Raw genomic sequence first — 20,191 nt, forward strand, 5'->3', positions numbered from 1 at the left:
GGCTAATTTTTGTATTTTTAGTAGAGATGGGGTTTCACCATGTTGGCCAGGATAGTCTCGATCTCTTGACCTCATGATCCACCTGCCTCGGCCTCCCAAAGTGCTGGGATTACAAGCATGAGGCACCGTGCCCAGCCTTTTTTTTTTTTATACTCAAGAATATTTTTTCTTTTCAGCAATTTATAGCTGACAACAATTTGGTACAATATACCTTTGTAAAAAAAAAAAAAACCTGATTTTCTTTGTCTATCTATCCGATTTATCTAGTTTAGAAATAATTTGTGAGTATTCTTAATTTATTATAATTATTTACATAAGTTCAATAAAAAATCTGTTTTCTTATGTAACGGGACACAATGAAAGACACTAGTTATTTAATGAAGGATTTGACTGGAACAGAATATATTCCAATAAGACTGAACTGCTTTGAGGAATCAAGGTTGACTTTATAGAGTAAATAAAAAGCCTCTTTATAAGGCTGGGTTGGTACCTTGTCTACACAGTTCTTTTACAAGGTTCCTGACCTGTGATAAGTAAAAAAAAAAAAAAAAAAAAAAAAAAAGTCACTTTCTGATAGGCCCAGAAACCGAGTTATTTGGGGATCCACCCCCCACCAAAAAAGAAATTTATCCAGGTATTACAGACAGCCTGATCATAAATCCCTGGCTTGGCTTCCAAGCCTTGAGAGACTTTTAAAAGTCTAATCCGAGATTCCTTGTAAAATTTTTCCAACAAAACCAATTTAAAAAGAATCTATATGGCCAATCACTATTCATACTACATTTTATACAAATAATCAGGCCAAGTGTAGTAAAACTGTAACTTATTTTACAAATAAACTGGTCCTGCTATGATTTTTCTTTAGTAAAAATGGGGGACTAGAAAAAAATTGTTTAAAATAAACTAAAACATACCTGTTATTAGATTCCAGCCTTAATCATTGTTTTTGAGTTTTTATTATTTTCCTACAATTCAGACTAAATCCTAAATTCTTTCCTGGCTATAAGCCTCCCAACTAATGTTTCCAAATTTTTTCTACTTTCTGACTAAAAATTACTAAAATTAATACTGCTTTTGCCTAAAGCCCTATAAGCTAAAGGTAGACAACTTGATAAAAACTTCTTTTAAAAATCATAATAACAACTTAATATACAAACAGCCTTTGAGCCTGACAATGTGTAGACTACTCAAAAGTTCCCTTGAATGCCTGATATAAACTACAGACAAAAAAAAAATCTGTCAGATTGTTACTATCTGCTCTCACTTCATCTAAAGATGCTTCAAGCCTAACATCTAAAAATCTTCTCAATGGGCTGCCTCTTACACTCAAAACCTAAGTTTATAGTTTTTTTCTAACCATTAACTTTTGTTTTCCTTTTGTTTCCATAAAAATGCCTCTTATTCAATATCTGTCTGATTGCTAAAATCATAAAGAAACCCAACTTTGGTAAAACCCCATCTACAAGACCATTGCCTGAAATAAGATGCAACTATTAACTGTTTAACTTGACTGCCCTGTTCTCAAGACTAAGAGACTGCTTCAATTAAATGGCTTATACAACAATCCACCAACCCAATTACTGGCCTGTGAAATTTATTGGGGAAGTTTTAGGCCAGAGAAGTTTGGAAAACAGAAAACAACATTCAACAATGGCCTCAGAAACAGCCTCAGGAAAAAAAAAAAAAAAATGTTTTCTCTGACCTTCTCCTACCCTCCTGCCTCCTGTCGTTCAGCCCCATTCTCCTCCAAGGCTGGCCATACAAACTTGAATCCCTCTTCCACAAGCCACGATAAAAATCAGAACCTCTTTTCCTCAAAGCCAGCCATAAACCTAAAAATTTGACTCCAGCTTTTCTTCTGCCTTTTTGTACAAAAACTGGCAATAAAAAATTATCTGACCCCCTTTCCAGAGAGGGTCCTGTCCCATATCCAGAAGGAAGAAACACATGCTCTGAAAAACCAAGACAAATCTAGACCAAGAGGCCTTGCTATATTGCTCTACTCCATCTATTAACATTAGATAATACCCTATTTTTCCAAACATATTTCTATGCAGCTATCCATACTTTCTTGAACCTAAGCATAAAAATGGACAATTTTTTCTATATCTTTGGGTCTTCATTCCAAAGGATCCTGTTTACACATTAATAAATTTTGAATGCTTTTTCTCCAGTTAATCTGACATTTATGAGTTCATTTCTCAGTAAACCTTCAGAAGGACAAAGTGAAAATTTTCCCTTGGCCCCTGTTCCCTCAAGGCTCATTCCTTAAACCATTAACTCTTGGCTTTGCTGCATGTTTCCACACAAGATACTTGTTTAAGAAAGAAACGACACTTCACTTCTAGCCCTGCAGATCATCCTGCACTCCTCAGCCTCACCAGCCTTCTTCCCACTTAAACCCAGGGCCTAAAAGGAACTTCGCTTAAACAAAATGTTTAATACATTTTGAAGGAAAAATACGGTTTTGATTTAAGAAATACATAGATGGTAGCTTTTGAGATAGACATTTTAAAATATTAAATTTAAGAGGAAAACAGAGTAAAGAATCACAAAGAGCTGTTTTAGTGGAAGTTGAAGATAAGGGAATCTTGTCCATGGACCCAGGCCAGATATAGCTCTCAAGGATTTCTCAAAACCATTTACCTCTCACTTTTCATTGCTACTCCACAGCCTCAGTTTAGGCTCCAGTTATATTTGGCAGACACTACAATCATTGATTCATAATTGGGCTCACTGTAATCAGTCTTAGCCTCTAGTTCATTTTCCACAAAGAAATCAATACTTAAAATGCTAACCTGCCCATCTGAATGGTTATACCTTAATTACACCACAAGGTACAAAGTAAAAAATATAAATCAATACTACTCAAAGCGCTAGCCCAAAATTGTTTGTTATAAATCAATGATTAGCAAAGCACAGAAATGAAGTAAGCATTTAGAATCCTTTCTAGCAATTTGAAATTGCCTTGATATCCATGTATGTAATTTTATATTTTATAAACATATCCATCCACATCATATTTGAAATTAAAAGATAATAATAAAGTAAATTGTCCCCTCACTATACATAGTTGAGAAGTCTTATTCTAACCGTCTTAGCATGACATACAAAGTCAGTATCTGCCACTTGTCAGTCTCTGCAACTGTGCCTTCTGCCTTCTCCAAGCTAGAATTTTATCCAGTAATTTCAACTCACTTGTTGTTCACTACACCCATCAGTAAACCACAGCACGGGGCTGTATCGTATGGTGGTTAAGGATATGGACTCTGGAGTCAGACAGCAGGGTTCCAAATCTGTCCTCTATAATTTACTGTCTATGTGACCTTAGGTAATTCACTTAAACATTCTGTGCTTCAATTTCTTCATACATAAAACTGGGATAGTAATAGCTGCCTCATATGTTTGTGGGACACATGAAATGGTTTCATGCATCACCTAAAATAGTACCTAAAATAAATGTAAAGATCGTTGTAGTTTTTATTATTTTAGTTTCCATTCCTTGATAGTGTGTTTTCTCTGCCTTACTTGCCTTCCTCTAACTTTGCATCTGGCTAGTAAGCAGCTTTAAAGACAAATTACAGTTTGTCTTCTCCAGGAGGCGTTCCTTGATTTTCCCAGGCTGATTTATGTCTTCACTCTGTGCTACCTCATCACCCTGAACCGATGCCTCTATCATGGCATCTATCACATGATATAAGGACCTCTTTATGTGTTTGTTTCTTCTACTTTGTTTGTTAAGTCTTGATGAAGACTTAACACCTATGAAATGCTTAATACATATTAACAGACCCCATAAACATACATATTTAACAGATCCCATTTTGATCCTTAGAAAGATCCATGTTCACACCATCTTACCATTTCAACTGGGCATTGCTTCCTGGAAGAAAATCTGGATGGGAAGAAATAGCTTTAGTGCCCAGAGTAAGATAAATGGGGATTGCAGCCTCTTGGATTGCCCTCCCTGCACTTAGCATTGGCCTTGAGACTTGCAACATTATATATACCAATCCCAAAGAAACTAGCTCAGGTAAAGGCTATGTACAGCAAGACCCATGCCATAAAAATATGTCCCTTCCTCATCTGATTCTTTTATACTGTTCATAATACAAACAGTGATGAGAAGAGATTTACAGTTTTCTTCATAGTTAATCTATTTTCTACTTATTATGCTTCTGACTATAAGCACAATTATTTGAGGAAGCAAAGAAATGCTCCAAATTTTAAATTAAACTAAAAATGAGTTGTGCATTAACAATGGTTATAGCATTCTCTAATTAATTAGACTTCAAGGTGGCACCATTTTCAAAAATCTCCGATTGTCAATATAAAATAGCTAAAACCCCAATTATCAATGACCATGTGAAAAAAAACTGGTACTCAAATACCATTAACAGCCATAATGAAATCTCAAATAATAGTGCTACTGTAAGCCTCTTCATAATCTTTATTAAATAGAGCCTAAAAGGAAAACAAAGATTTGTCTGGGCACAAGTTTCTCAGACAATGGCTAAAGAGCATGCAAATTACCTCAATAGGTCAAAAACTATAAGGAAATCAGGCCTCTGAGGAAAAAATAAAATGAAAAATACAATCAGGTGAATTGATAGGTACTTTTAGTTATCCAGCATAAAGGAGAAAAGCAGGGATACCTGAAAAATTTTAAATTGCAAACAATCTAAAATATTACAGCAAATTATTTCAAGTTTTCTCATATGACTAATCTACTTTTACAAGGCATGAAAAAAATAATACCTACCTGTTTGAGCTTAAGCACTTTTTCATGGTCCTATTCAGTATATAAGTATGTGCAGGAGCTGTAAGAACAAAAGTGCGAGGAGAAAGGATGAAGAAAGCTGGAGGCTGACTGAGCCACTGAATACTGAAGCTTACAGGCACTTTCTTGTCAAAATGCTCACAGATTCAAGGCCCCATGTACAAGGCAAGAAAAAGCACTAGAATTTTAATAATCACTTCTAAAAGAGTATTAATATGATGCATGCTTTTAGAAAACAGGCTTTTTAAATTGCTACTTTATTGAGCAATTTCCATAAAAGATTTCATTATGTTAATTTAAAGATGCGAACAGCAAAAACTGAGAGTAAAATAATTTTAACTTCTCATTTTGTAACATATGGTGTTAAAAAGTGAAGCAGTCAAAAGGAAAGACATCTGAATAATAGGAAAATCTTACAGGTGGTATTTAAGTCAGAAATTTTTCTTTTCTATCTATATTTAGGGATATTTATTAAACTCCTTCCAGGGCAGCGGCACTGAAAGAGATTTTGTCTTACACATCCTTGCAGACATCTAGTGCAAATGTTAAAAACTTGTGCTTCTGGATAATCATACCTCCAGGGTTTTAGCACTGTGTGGATCTGTGTGAATTATTTTGCAAATGCAAATAATGTATCATCTAGAGAAACAGGAATTCAGTAGTTGGAATTTGATGAGATCAAAAGGATAAAAGTGTTTACTTTATAAACTAAATGTTGAAAAGTTTCAGGTAAAGAGCCATGCTTTTTATAAAATTAGTTTAGCAACCCTAATATCAGTAAGAAACAATACAATACCAACAACATGGATGTGCAAAAGGTCATCATTTGTAAGATAAATGATATCCGACATGGTGACAAAGGAAAGTTATGTCAACTGAAACAAGAATGAATACAAATCAGGTCATTCCTGGCTAAGGGTGTCATCAAAACCTTCGTAAAGAAAGAATGGAAAGAACAAGGCCAGCACCAGCACCAGCTCATTCTCTTCTCACTTAAAAAACAAAACAAAACAAAACAAAAAACAAGAAAAACCCACCATGGTAACCCCTAAAAATCAATAGACCTAATGTGCTATTTTTAGCAGTTTAAGCATTTTGCTACTGACAGACCTTTACGGTGGTTCTTCTTGTTGTTTTGCCGCTGTTCTCAGCAGGACATTTATCATCCTTGTATATATACACTGAAGTCATTTTACTTTGGAATGTACACATCTGATTCCCAAAAGTGGTTCACATGGTATGTGAGCTATTCTTGCTCTTTTTTATCCTGAACATATGTGTGTGGGATAGGAGGAATCAAAATAATTAAATTAGTAATGACTTGGTTGTTATTAGGAGAGTTCAGCATCTTCATGAAGTACATTTCCAGAAAAGCATTTAATTCAATAATTTGGTTTACTTAGTGGACCTCTCCTTATTAAAATGGTGAGTGTAATTTCACAAAACAAATAAAAAAGAAAAGAAAAGAAAAAGAAAGAAAGAAATTGACCAGGTCAAGGTGCAAGGGTAACAGTTATAAATATGGCACATACATTTTAGAATGTCATAGAGAAATTTTCATAAGCTGCCTTCTTTCTTATTCTATTCTCATTTTTCTTCTCTTCCCCAGACTTACCCCATGTGCCAGTCATATTTTGTTTGTTTAAAGCCACTACAGTTTAATGAAATATCACACTTTTTCACAAGCTCACTTAGGCTGTGAACAAACTATTTCCTCTGCTGGAACATTCACCTTATACTACCCCTGCTCCATTCCCACCAGATAAACTCTTCCTTCAGCCTTGAAAACTAGGTTTCATGTCACTCTGGTAGGGTAAAGTCCCCCTCCTGGATACGCGTACTTGAATAAAGCTCCATCTTTTAGATAACACATTATCACACTCTATTGTAATGCCTTGTCTGTCTCCCTCATTGCAATGTGACTTTTTGAAGGCAGAGCTGTCTTTTGTCTCTGATAACTTAGTACTTATTATAGTGCAGACTTTCAGATTTATTTTTTTTTTTTACTTAACTGGATGAAAGAGTAATATAGAAAGAAAGAGGGCCATGAACATTAACTATTTAGGCACCTACATTTAACTGACATGTAGAGAAAAAAAAAAGCCTAGTGAGTTGCCCGAAAAAGAAGTATTTAAAGAAGTAAATAGAGAAAGAGGCAATAGATCTGTGGGTATGAGAGTTTGAAAAGGAGAGGAGAAAACATTGTCAAATGCTATAGAAAAAGGTTGAAAGAAAGAGAGAGGAAAAGGAGAAATACTAAAGAAAGCCTGAAGTAAGGACACAATATATTTAATAGCTTTAGTTGGCTATGAAGGCTAAAGGAATAGGTGTTAGCAACTCCTGTGTCTTGGGACTGGAGAATCAACTAAAAGAGTTTTTAGAAAGACATTTAAGGGGTAAGGATGGGGCATCTGAACTTGAATAGATGGAGATAAACTGAAATAGAGGCTGAGAAACAATAAGAAGAGGTGCAAAATAGAGACACTACAATAATGACAAGCAAAGTCTGTGTTCCCACCTTGCCCATATACTCCACATCACCGCAGCCCGCCACCTCCCCACCCTGCTTTACCCTTAGGTAATGGGTATTCCAACAAATTCAAGCTTCAATCTGCCTGGCAGTATGTCTAGTCACATTCCATGTAAATGGAGATTTCTATCCCAACAAAAGTTTTTTCATCATTATTACTATTTAGAAAGCCCAGATTTCTATCCCAACAAAAATTTTATTCATCATCATTACTATTTAGAAAGCCCAGATTCACTTCTTATAAAAAAGAAAAATTAATAATAACAATAAAGTACAATCTGCCACTGTAGCTTCATTTGTTATGCTATGCTTAGAAAAACAGAGATGTTTATGAAGAGCTACTTGTAAGATAAATTTATGTTAAACACTTCATTTATTTATTCATATGTCAAAAATTATACACATAGCTGCAAAAAAAAATAGCTTATACAGGAAATGAGACCAACTAGTAGGCTTTTTTAAAAATGTGACAGAATTATAACCTCCCTGAAGGTGATAAGAAGTGGAAAAATCACAACATAAAGAGAAAATCATCACAGGAAGTGATCCCTGATAAGAAAATCAGTTCTGTAAAGTATAAAATTGCTCTTTTTAATTTTTAAATTTCATGTTTTATAGAGAAGGAATGTCTTATATAGAAATGCAGCTACTTAAAAATTGGAGTACTTCTATCTATGATATAGAAAACTGTATTGATATATTTTCCTTTACTGCAAATGGTAATTACCAGAGCTTTCCTGCTAAAGACCAGTACATTATCATTAAAATAATCATAGCTTTGTTATAATTTATATTGTTTTGTTTAATTTACAAATTAATAATTATGTAATATGCTCACTTTTTTTTAGTAAATTATAAATTTGGTTGCTGAATAAAAATATCGGCAAAAACCATTCTATTGCTCTCCAAAAGCTATAGCCTAATGCAGTTCTTGGCATGCTTCCCATATTTTCTTATGTACCACAGCTCAAATTTTTGTCTAATTCTTAAGACTTACAATTAGGAAGAAGAATGAAATCAAATGATAAACTAAAATAGATGTTTTCTACTGTGGTTTTTAACTTCCTCTGACTCATGCTTTTTCTACTTTAGAAAATGATGTGCTTCTTAGAATGAGCATAAGTCAGAGAGCATCATTAAACTTCTAATAAACCCTACACACCACCACCTAGGATTTAAATTACTTACCTAATGGTGAAAGCTTTCATATATCATCCCCAGTCTCTTGAACATTTGGAGTTTCCTTCATTTTCTGTAGAACAATTTGTTCCTCCTAAGTACAGAATAGCTTGGTGTGACTTGATCACTTAACATATATGGTAGAAAATGTTAAACATGAAATGTATTTTATATTTAGTACTATAAATACTATACTATTAATACAAATTAACTGGCATCTTTGGATTCAATGTCTTAATAGTATACTTGTGAAAAAGATCTTGTGATTAAAGACCAAATAATAATAATAATTTCTCTGGAATTATCAAGCCATGAAAACACATTGCAAAGCAATCCAGATTCAAATATTTATGTTTGGAAATTATTTTATGTTTGTTTCATGCCCTCTCAATTTGCTAACTAGGAGAGAATTCAGAAAATAAATTTTGAGACAAACATTCTATGATACATTAGGCATTTTTTAAGTTGACTAGCTATGTAATAGTTTTATTATTCTCTAAAGCATATTTGCCAGTTTTATCACCATTCTTATAAGATTTTCATAACCAATATCTTCTCTTTTTAGCTTGGGAGAGTTTTAGAATTGTGCTCCCTTAAAAGAGAATGAGAAAAAGATCATTTTGCTCTCTTTTTAATCTCCAGGTTTAAATGTTGCTTGAAATGGTCAATTTTCTCACTGTCAACACATTATATATTAGAGATAGTTTCTTGGAATCAAAGAAAACAGAGAATCTCAGAGAGAATTATCATAAAGTTTCCCTATACATTTTGTCTGGCAGAGAACAGGCCACAATGTATATAGAGCAATAACTCTCTTCCCTTTGAGAAATAAGCTGCTACTGAAGAGTAGCAATGCCAAATTCTCATGGAGTTTTACTAAAATAATTTGTATTGTAGAACTACTGGAACTACTGGAAATAAAAATGTGCTGACCTCTCCCCATTCCTGGTCTGTTCACATAATTTAATTTAGAGAAAGGAGAACCATTCAGTGAGGTAACGATTAAATGAAATCGAAGTTTAAGGAAGTTATACTTTCCTCGCTGTGATTGAGACATAGAAATTGTGATGGTTAATACTGAGTGTAAACTTGATTGTATTGAAGGATGCAAAGTATTGTTTCTGGGTGTGTCTGTGAGGGTGTTGCCAAAGGAGATTAACATTTGAATCAGTTGACTGGCTGAGGCCAACCCACCCTCAATCTGGGTGGGCACCATCTAATCCTCTGACAGCATGGCTAGAAAAAAGCAGGCAGGAGAAGATGGAAGAGCAGACTTTCTGAGGCTTCTGGCCTTCAGCTTTCTCCCATGCTGGATTTTTACTGTCCTCAAACATCAGACTCTCAGTTCTTCACCTTTTGGACTCTTGGACTTACACCAGTGGTTTGCAAGGGGCTCTTGGGCCTTCAGCCACAGACTGAAGGCTGCACTGTAGATTTCCTGACTTTTGTGGTTTGGGGACTTGGACTGGTCCACCGCTGGCTTCCTTGCTCCTTAACCTGCAGACAGCCTATTGTGGGACTTTACCTTTGTGATCATGTGAGTCAACTGTCCTTAATAAACTCCCTTTCATATATACATCTATCCTATTAGTTCTGTCTCTCTAGAGAACCCTGACTAATGCAGAAATCAAGGACAAAAGGAGTTTGGGTGAAAGAAGAAAGTTTTGGTTGAAATAATTTTAATAAACTAGAATTAAGGTTAAAGAGATCTAGAGCTCTGTCATCATTAACTTCTGTGTGAAATAGTGAAGAAAAAGTGAGAAAGCAAGGTAAATAGGAAAGAGATGACTGAAAATGGGAAAAACTGATCATTTGTGCTTTTTTTCTTTCTCTAAATAATTTTTAAAATGGAGAAACTCACAAGGGCAAATAGAACTAGAGATAAATATTCTCCGGTAAGAGTTGTCATCAAAGGTTTGGACTTGTCAAAGGGCAGACAGATAGAAGTAAATGACTTACAGTACAGAGAAAGTTGAGACTTAAGTGCCTATTGAGGAGGAGGATGCCCAGGCTTTCCAGGCTACAGAAATCTTTCTGAAAGGCTTAGAATTTGAGGCACAGAAGTCTTGGGAGCAGGAAGAGTGGGGGCCAGCCTCAGTTTAAAGTCTACATAGAGGTTAGGTTGCCTAAATTCCATCTCTCACCCAACACAGACAACTAAATAATCCTTTCCAACCAGGCAAGAGATGAGTAATTTATTCCCCCAGCAGAATAGAGCAGCAAGTTCCAAGTCTCAGAGACACTGGAAGAGAAATGCAAACCAAAGCTACAAACTGATTTACGTGCATATCAGTTAGAACACCTAAAATTAAAAGGATTGGCAATACCAAGTATTGGTAAGGAAACTGAAACTCTCATGCATTGCTGAAAATGTAAATGTACAGGCACCTTGGGAAACACTTTAACAGTTTCCTATATGTTTAAACATACATCTGTCTTTTGATCCAGCAATTCTACTCCTAAATATTTACCCAAGAGAAGTGAAAACATACATTCACTCAAATATTTGCACAAGAATATTTATAACAGCTTTACTCATAATAGCCCAAACTGGAAACAACTCAGATGTCCAACAGCAATTGAATTGATAAACAAATTATGATTTAATAACATAATGCAATATTACTTAGTAATAGAAGGGAGTAGATTACTTATACAACAGCATGGATGGATCTTAAAATTACTTTGCTGAAAATATATGGCAAACACAAAACGGTATATATTACATGATTTCATGTATATGAAAACCCAGAAAAGGCAAGACATCTATAGAGACAGAAAGCAGATATTTGGGGTTGCCTCTGGCAGGGTTTCAGATGGGGATTGACTACAGACTGGCATTAAAGAACTTTCTGTGGTAATTAAATACTGATTGTGTTAGTGGTTATATAAACATATATGTTTGTCACAAAAACTAAGCTGTGCTTAAAATAAGTGCATTATATTATCCATAAATAATACTTTTAGAATGTTGATTTTAAAAAATAGATCAAAGTAAGTTGCAGTGTGTATTGTTTTATTTAACATTTAAATATTTGCTTTGTAACAGAGAAGACGTAAATGCATTTGAAGATTGAAGGAAAGATTCTACTGTATTAATAAAAACATGTTGATATGAGCAAAAGAAGGAAAAATTGATGAAGCATCATTCTGGAGTTGATGGGAAGGTTCAAAATTATAAGTAGAGGGGCTAGCCCTATAATGGTAACCACCATAGTAACCATTCACTTTGTTAAAGACTCTGTTAAAGATTTATATAAATTGTCTCAATTTATCATCACAATAATCTTATGATGCAGGCAGTATGATTCCCACTTTACAGATGACAAACTTAGGATTCATAAAGATTAATAGAATCCTCAAGGTAGCACAACTACTCAGTGGTAAAACTGGGATTTCAGTTAATGTCTTAGAGCATTTATTTTAGAAAAGTTATAATTGTAAACTCTCTGTCTCTTTGAAATATACATAAATCTTTTCTAAAGCTAAATAAACTTGTCAGCTTTAGGACCAAGGAATGTCTTTCTCAAGGACCTAGGAAGCATGTTTTTGAAATGTAATCACCAAAGAAGATAGGAACCCTACCTCTCACCTTCTGCCTAAGTTTATTGAGTACCTTGCTCCAAGCACCAAAGGTACCTATTGTCATAAAGATAGGAGAAGTTTATTTTTCCTTTGGATACAACCAATTTGTGAACGCATATGGTCCCCCCAGTTGTGAGGTGAACTTAAGATAAACAATGTGTGATAAATGGTGCTGTCCAGGCCTCTTGTGGACTAATAATATTGTTTGTCTTGAGAAAATGTATATATAATGGTCTGCATCTGCTTAGTTATATAAAAGACAGCTATTTTTTCTGTCTTCAACCTCTTTGCCAATTGCTCATGATGTTCATCACACTCTGGTTTAATGTTTATTCAATAATAAAATTGTTTCTCTTCTACCATTCTAAAGAGCTTTTCTGGATTAGGAAGAGATTTTGGTTTTAATTATATCCCCCTAACAAAGATTCATAGCTAATTCCATGTTTTTCATATCTGAAGGCTAGTTTTCAAAAATTTATTTATGGTTTTCCTGAATTTCTAGTTAGCTAAAGCAAGCACTACAAGTTAAACTTACTTTCCCAGAGCAATGGAGAACAGATGGAATGATCTTTTTTTAAGTGAAATGTTTGACATTTCTGCTCATTTTATAGAAACCAGGTGATACATAAGCCTGCAACTCACTATCTGGCATTCATCTGACATACCTTCTTCAATACCCACACTCATCGTGCTATTGTATTTGTACCAAATGTTTAACCACCATTCACTTTTCCTTAATTTCTCTCTTAAATGTCAACACAATGAAGAATGAACCTGCACAATCCATTAAAGAACAAAGCTATGTAAAACATTGCTAATAAGTTACTTGATGTCTGCAATCAACTGCTTCCTTGCCTCTAACTCATTTTGTATGTAGATTGTATCCACTTTCTGTTGATGAATTAGCAGCTTTTACAAGTGAATGGGCAGAAAAGAGAAGCTAAATTGGCTAATAGACACACACACAGTTAGAAAAGTCAATGTATTTTGTGCAGTGAAGAGATTTCTTTACAATTCAAGCTAACGAACTAAATTATACATATTAACGTAATGTAATATTTGTTACTGGATTGTTATCCATTTAAATATGCAAAACCTACACTTTCTCAATGCTCTGTTTCTAAAAAACTCTGCCCTATTGGCTTGATTCAATTAAGCAGTGGCCATCAGCGGCAACTTTAATAAACACTTTTGGTTTCTTTATTGCATAGTGACATGTATTGACATTATAAAGATCAGGGGCCAGGTGCAGTGGCTTACACCTGTAATTCCAGCACTTTGGGAGGCCAAGGCAGGCAGATCACCTGAGGTCAGGAGTTCAAAACCAGCTTGGCCAACATGGCGAAACCCTGTCTCTACTAAAAATACAAAAATTAGCCGGGCGTGGTGGTGGGTGCCTGTAATCCCAGCTACTCGAGGCTAAGGCAGGAGAATCACTTGAACCAGGAGGCAGAGGTTGCGGTGAGCCAAGATTGTGCCACTGCACTCCAGCCTGGGTGACAGAGAAAGACCCCATCTCAAAAAAAAAAAAAAAAAAAGAAAAGAAAAGAAAAGAAAAAAAAGCTTATTGGAACCACAGATACATGAAGATGGCATTATCTATAAGTCCAAATTCTAACTTTTATTCAGGCCCCAAGAAATGACTCTTGGCTTTGGATTCATATCAGTAACATCTAACAATAGGAAATAAGAAATACATATAAAATATTTGGTCCAGTAGTAATTATACCTGGACATTAGGAGTTGCCATTCTACCTGCACAGGAAGAGCCTGCCTTATTGAGTTGCAGTCACCAGTCTTTCTGGCAACATAAAATCAGTAACCTCATGGGTCAGTTAGAACCAACTCAACATTGTACTTCCTATGGAAAAGAGGATGAGCCAAAATATGTGACAGCTCTATGTCAGCTTTTCACATTGTTAAAATACATGATTCCTCTCCTTTCACACTCTGAAAGAAATGAGAGAGATGTGGAGTTGTCAGATATTTGGGACTTAGCCATTCATTAAACAAGAAGTGTTGTATTAAATCAGTGATTTTGCCTGCCTGAAATGACCTAGAGTCTAAACAACCTCCCAGTAATGTAACAGCTATCACTTTTCTATATCTATTTAACATGAAAGTCTAATAATTATCATTATAACTATTATCTGCACTCAGGACTTTCCTGTCTCGTGTGTGTGCGTGTGTGTGTGTGTGTGTGTGTGTATGTGTGTGTGTATTTTCATTCCCTATGTTTAAAAGTTCACTTTCAAAATTTGCAAGAAAATTGTCCCACGTCTCAGCAAAGATAAACCATTGTATTTGTTTTTAAAAACACTATACAAAGCAGAAAACTGTCTTTGGTGAAGAAATAACTCATTGTTGTTTTTGCTCTTGATTCATTAATCATTTACTTGTATTTCCAAGAGCAAACGAGTGGATGCCCTCTACCAAGAATAAATAAAAGACGTTGGCAAAGCTACCTGTCATATAGTTATAATGTGGACAAAGACTGAATATTAAAAATATACTTTGTAAAATTAAGATATGATCTGCACATTTCCAATTGTGCTGTCTTCCAGTATATCTTCAAAAACTGTATTTTAAAATTCATAGCCAAACATAAGCATGTCAAAACTAAATCTTCCTTTTAGTACATAAAAAACTAATATACTATTGGGAAAGACAAAACAATCAGGCTAACTTAACCAATACTTTTTTTCCTCTACTAATAGTGATAGAGGTAGGAGGCAGAGAAATTCAAGGCAGACAGGGGTGGGTCCCCAGCAAAACGCCGCCTTCAAGCCAAAACACCTGAAACCCATGGCCCAAAGTGAGAACTTCCATCCCTGTGTGCCTGCCCTTTCCCAGTTGGTTCTTTCTGAATAATGTCTTTTTACAAATAAAATGTTGTCTTTTCCAAAACTACCTATGGCCCACTCTGCCCCCCTCGCCACCCCCAACCCCCAACATCCTGTGCCTATAAAGACCTCAGACTCAGCCAATAGAGGAGAGAAGCTACTGGACACTAGGGAGAGGTTACTTGACTTCAGAGATGGCAGCTAGACGTCGAAAAGAGGCAACTTGACTTTGGAAGAGAGGCAGAGAGGAGGCTTGACTTCAGGAGAGCGTGACCTGCCCTTCCTATCTCCTTTCCAGCTCCCCTCTCCGCTGAGAGCCACTTTCATCACTCAATAAAATTATCCTCATTCACCATCCTTCAATTTATCTGCATGACCTCATTCCTCTTGGGCACCAGACAAGAATTCAAGATGCACCAAGCGCAAGTACGCAATAAGGCTGTCACAGTGGCCCTTTGCCCTTGCTGGCAGAGGGCAGCCTCCCCATGTGATGAGAAAAGGGCCCACTGAGCTGATAACACACTGCTGTCCATGGGCAGCGGAGCTAAGGGAACATTGTAACATGCCCTCTGGGGCCTTGGGGTCACCAGGCACCCCCACCCGGATGATGCTGCGGGGCCTGTATAGAGTTTGATCCTGCCAGCACTGAAGCAGTGGGCCAGTTCTTTCACTCATTCGCTCTGCTTCCCATATTGGTTCACCTGCACGCTGCCTCCCACGAGGGGTTGAGCAGGGCAGCTGAGTAAATGGGGCATCACTGCTGTGAGTTCCACAAAGGGGTCAAGAAAACATCCTGCATCAATAGGAATCATTCCTTTTCTTATCTTCTTTTACTCTCAATGAGTAAAAATCAGGATTTCTAATGATTTTTTTATATGTTCAACAACTTCACAGCAAGAATGAAAGACCCATTGGGTAGGGAGATTTTGGCTGTTTTCAAAGAGGAAAGGTGGGTTGTAGTGAAAGAATTACTGCCATGGCCTTCTCAGTGGCCTCCCTGTGACACCTCCCAGACATGTCACCATTAGTGATTCATGTGGGGGCCACAAAAAACTTTATGCATAAAACTATGCATGATCTTGCCAAGGAGACAAGAGTCCCAATGATTCTTTTCCTCTCATGTGAAAGTCTGTGTGCATTCAGTGTGGAGATGTGGGAATTATGTCCTACGCAGCTAATTTTCATCTAACAGTCACTGAAAATCTATTACATGCAAAGACGTTCATAGTCATTTCTGGACCACTAGAAAAGAAAGGTAAAGAAAACTATTATAATATGATATGATATGAGATTTGATAGACATAACACAGGTGTTGGTAACCTTCTCCGAAATTACATGATTTCTAGTCACTAGTCTCTACTCTGGAACCTGCTTTGATCCAAACAGGTACTTAGAATGTAGCAAATTTAACTCTCTTAGGTTCCATAACCAAACTGTCACCTTAAGAATGTGATTTCATAAAAGGCTATGTCCATCTTTCTGCCAAAATTCATTGCCTGCATGCAAATGTAGTCACACCCTATTTACCACAAAAATATCATCAGAAATATAATACTAAAAATGTCATCCTGATGTTGCATATTTACTTCCATTAACACTTTCCATTTCAATTTTTTTCAACCTCAACCCAGGCTAATTCAAGCTGTGATCATGTAGGTTCTTACATCAGCAACATTTGTCACCAAAAATAAATATTCTGCAATCAAAACTTAACTGGCCTAGCAATTTGTTGGTGATGCATGAGGCAGAACCGAATTCAGCTTCATTCTTCCTCAGCTAAATTGACTTTCCAGCACTAAGAGCAGGAGAGATTTATGTGTTAGTAAATTAAGCAGAGCTACCCCAGGGAAAACAAAAGACACAAATACATGCAAGCCCACAGTATTCTTTGATATTCAGTTTTGCTCCTATGCAATGTAATATATTTTAACAAGTTGGGAGACATAGATAAAATAAGAGACAATGCTCCTACTTAAAATAAACTTTGAATTTCAGATGTAAACTGTTTAACAGCTTAACATGTGATTTGTCATCTTATTAAATCAAGAAAGAACTGAATACTCTTACTAAACGGTGGTAAACATTAGTAATTATAAAATCTCTAGCATATTTTCTTTCCTTTAAATAAATAACGTTTTCTGCTCCTGTTGCATCATTTCAGTTTACAAAGCAATGTTATACATATTACTTTATTCAATCTTGAAAACAACACTTCCAGACTGTGGCTCTGGAATTATCATTCTTATTAAACAGATGGAAAACTGTAACCTAGAAGTTAAATCAAGAAAACAAACCTAAGAACATGCAACAAGAGCCTGGAGAAAAATTAACACTCTCTCTTCTTATTCATACCACATACAGTTGATTCTTGTTAATCATGGTAACTGTGTATGTTATGGTTATATAAAATCACCACAAACACTGAATTAATGAATACTGAACCATTGTTTCTATGGGAAATGCAGAGTTAGGTTCCTGTGAGCCTGTGCTCACATTTTTATCAACTGACCAATATAGAATTTTGCTTTATGTATATTTCTGTTTAAAATCACATTCAGTATATATTGTTGATTCAGTAACATTGAACTTATGGCCAACAGCACTATAATTAATGCCTGAATGAAATTTACCTAGCATACCTACATTCTCCATAAGGCATGTCCCAGTCTTTTGCACTTAGAAACACTAGAGAGCACTTCAGAACTATGCTTGGGGACTATTAAACAACAAAATGATGAAAAAATACAAAAAAAAGAAAAAAACCACACACACACACACACATTAAATAAACTACCAAAACACCCACTTGTTTACCATAGGGGAACAGAAACAGGAAGGCGAAGTGTCTCTTTGTTCACCTTCAGCTGGAAACAAGTGCTTTGGGTGACTCAAATTTTTGGCCACTCTTTACATATATGTGCATGTCTGCAAATAACCAAGCATTGATTTTAGGGTTCCAGATAAATTTCAGTGAGTAGGTAAATTCACAATATACAGTTGATCCTCATTATCTGTGGAAGATAAATAACATATCTATCTTATGAAGATGTTTATATATTCATCTTAAATGACAAATTTAGAGAAAGAAAAGGGAAAAATACATTTACCTGTCTATACTCTTAATGTTAACAGCAATGTTACAGTGATAATTGAAAATACGTTGGAATATAGATGAAGGGTGTGACTGCCCATGAAGATGTTGTACATGTTTAACCCTTCTCTTGACATTTGACTGTTTTATGCTGAGGGAAACCTGGAGATGAAGGGAATAATAATAGATGTAGGGAGAGGGAAGAGTTTGAATTTGGATTTACCCAAGCTGAACATTGACTAAACTGATTCTGAACAGATTCTAAAGAAAATAATTATATATTAGTCTGGGTTCTCCAGAGAAAGAACCAATAGTTCTTTAAACAATATATCTGTATATTTATAATAGAATATATATTTCATAAATATCTTTATCTAGATAGATATAGAGTAATGTATCACTTAATGAAGATACATTCTGAGAAATGCATCATTAGGCAATTTTGTCATTGTGCAAACATCATAGAGTGCACACACACAAACCTAGACAGTGCAGCCTACTACACCCTTTGACCATATGGTATAGCCTATTGTCCCTAGGCCACAAACCTGAGCAGCATGTTACTGTACTGGATACTGTAGTCAATTCTAACATAATGGTAAATATTTGTATATCTAAACAAAGGAAAAGTGCAATAAAATATGGTACAAAAGATTTTTTTTAAGTACACCTGTATAGGGCACCTACCATGAATGTAGCTTGCAGGACTGAAAGTCAGTGAGTGAGTGGTGAGTGAATGTAAAGGCCTAGGACATTACTTTATACTACTGTAGACTTTATGAACACTTTACACTCAGGCTATACTAAACTTATTTTTTAAATAAAGTAATTGCACTATGATGACAGGTATGATGTCACTAGGTGATAGGAATTTTTCAGCTCCTTTATAATCTTACAAGACCACCATTGTATATGCAGTCCCTCATTGAGATGTCATTATGAAGCACAAGACTTCATATCTATTAGATATATATTTATTGTTTCTAGATAAATGGATAGAGATTTGTTATACAAAATTGGCTTACACAATTACAAAGGCTGAGAAGTCCTAGATTGTGTAGTCAGCAAGCTGGAGATCCAGGAAAGCTGATAGCATAGTTCCAACCTGAGTCTGAAGGCCCAAGAACCATGAGATCTGGTGAAGTAAGTTCCAGTCCAAGTCTGAAAGCAGTAAAAGATCAAAGCCTTAGCTCAAAGGCAGTCAGAGGAGAGGAAATTTCTCTTACCTGGCAGCGTCAGCCTTTTTGCTCTATTCAGGCATTGACTGGATGAAGCCCACCCCAGTTTCATGGGGAGGGCAGTCTGCTTTCCTTGTCCTGCTAATTCAGATGTTGGTCTCATCCTAAAACACTCTCACAGGCACACTCAGCATGATGTTTAACCCAATATCTGGGAATCCCATGGCCCAGTTAAGCTGACATACAAAATTAACCATCACTAGATTACATTCTCTTATTCAGAAACATGTGAAATACATTTAAAAACAAATCTACAGAGAATAGTAAACAAGAACGAATGGAGCAGAAAGGAAGAATGTAACTGACATATAGCTTTTGATGTTATTAGGTCAAGACCTTCACAAGCTGGACCTTCAGTTTGAATTCGTGTGCACAATTCATGTATCAGGAATAACAATTCACAACATAACACGTAATTACATTCCATTTTCACTGGTCTTTTTTTTAAACTGTGTTATTCTTTCTCTACATTGTCATGATTTTATCTTTTAAAATAGAAAAATCTTTTGGTCATACTCATTCACAGATTTCTTAGATTTTTATTCCATTTATGAACAAAAGAAAGAAATAACTTTGCAAACCTACTATGTTCAAGTCCTCAAAACCAAATCATATATAAAAGTTAAGGATATTACTAGCAGATTATCCTAAAGGATAGAATAACATTTTGGCTTTATCTCTTTTCATTCATCCAATCAAAAACCTAAAAAAAATTAATTACACATATACGTTTTTGATAATTAAGCAAAATATATACCAACTAATTTTTCTAGAGGGTTACGGTCAGTGTGGAGATGCTTCAGTGATTGTGAATTAGAAAGCCAGTCATCAGCCTCTAATTTGTCTTCTGCTGACCAAGGGCTATGGCTTTGACACTGAGGTGATCTTGCTCATCTCTGGATTTTGAAGACCTGGGACTACATATCTGCTAAATGCTTTTTTTG

At 35.5% G+C, this 20,191-nt stretch overlaps 1 long non-coding RNA gene across 1 annotated transcript in view; it reads right to left on the reverse strand.

Moving 5' to 3' along the window:
- Nucleotides 1–627: 627 nt before the first annotated feature.
- Nucleotides 628–20,191, reverse strand: part of LOC102723914 (uncharacterized) — a 52,393-nt gene continuing 32,829 nt past the window's right edge. The window contains exons 2-5 of the long non-coding RNA XR_427579.4: nt 19,035–19,170; nt 8,499–8,583; nt 5,891–6,047; nt 628–4,820 (exon numbers count right to left, since the gene is read on the reverse strand). This is a non-coding gene — a long non-coding RNA (uncharacterized LOC102723914). The remainder of the gene's footprint in view (nt 4,821–5,890; nt 6,048–8,498; nt 8,584–19,034; nt 19,171–20,191) is intronic.

This window comes from Homo sapiens, chromosome 4, assembly GCF_000001405.40.
Source record: "Homo sapiens chromosome 4, GRCh38.p14 Primary Assembly".
Classification (NCBI taxonomy): Eukaryota; Metazoa; Chordata; class Mammalia; order Primates; family Hominidae; genus Homo; species Homo sapiens.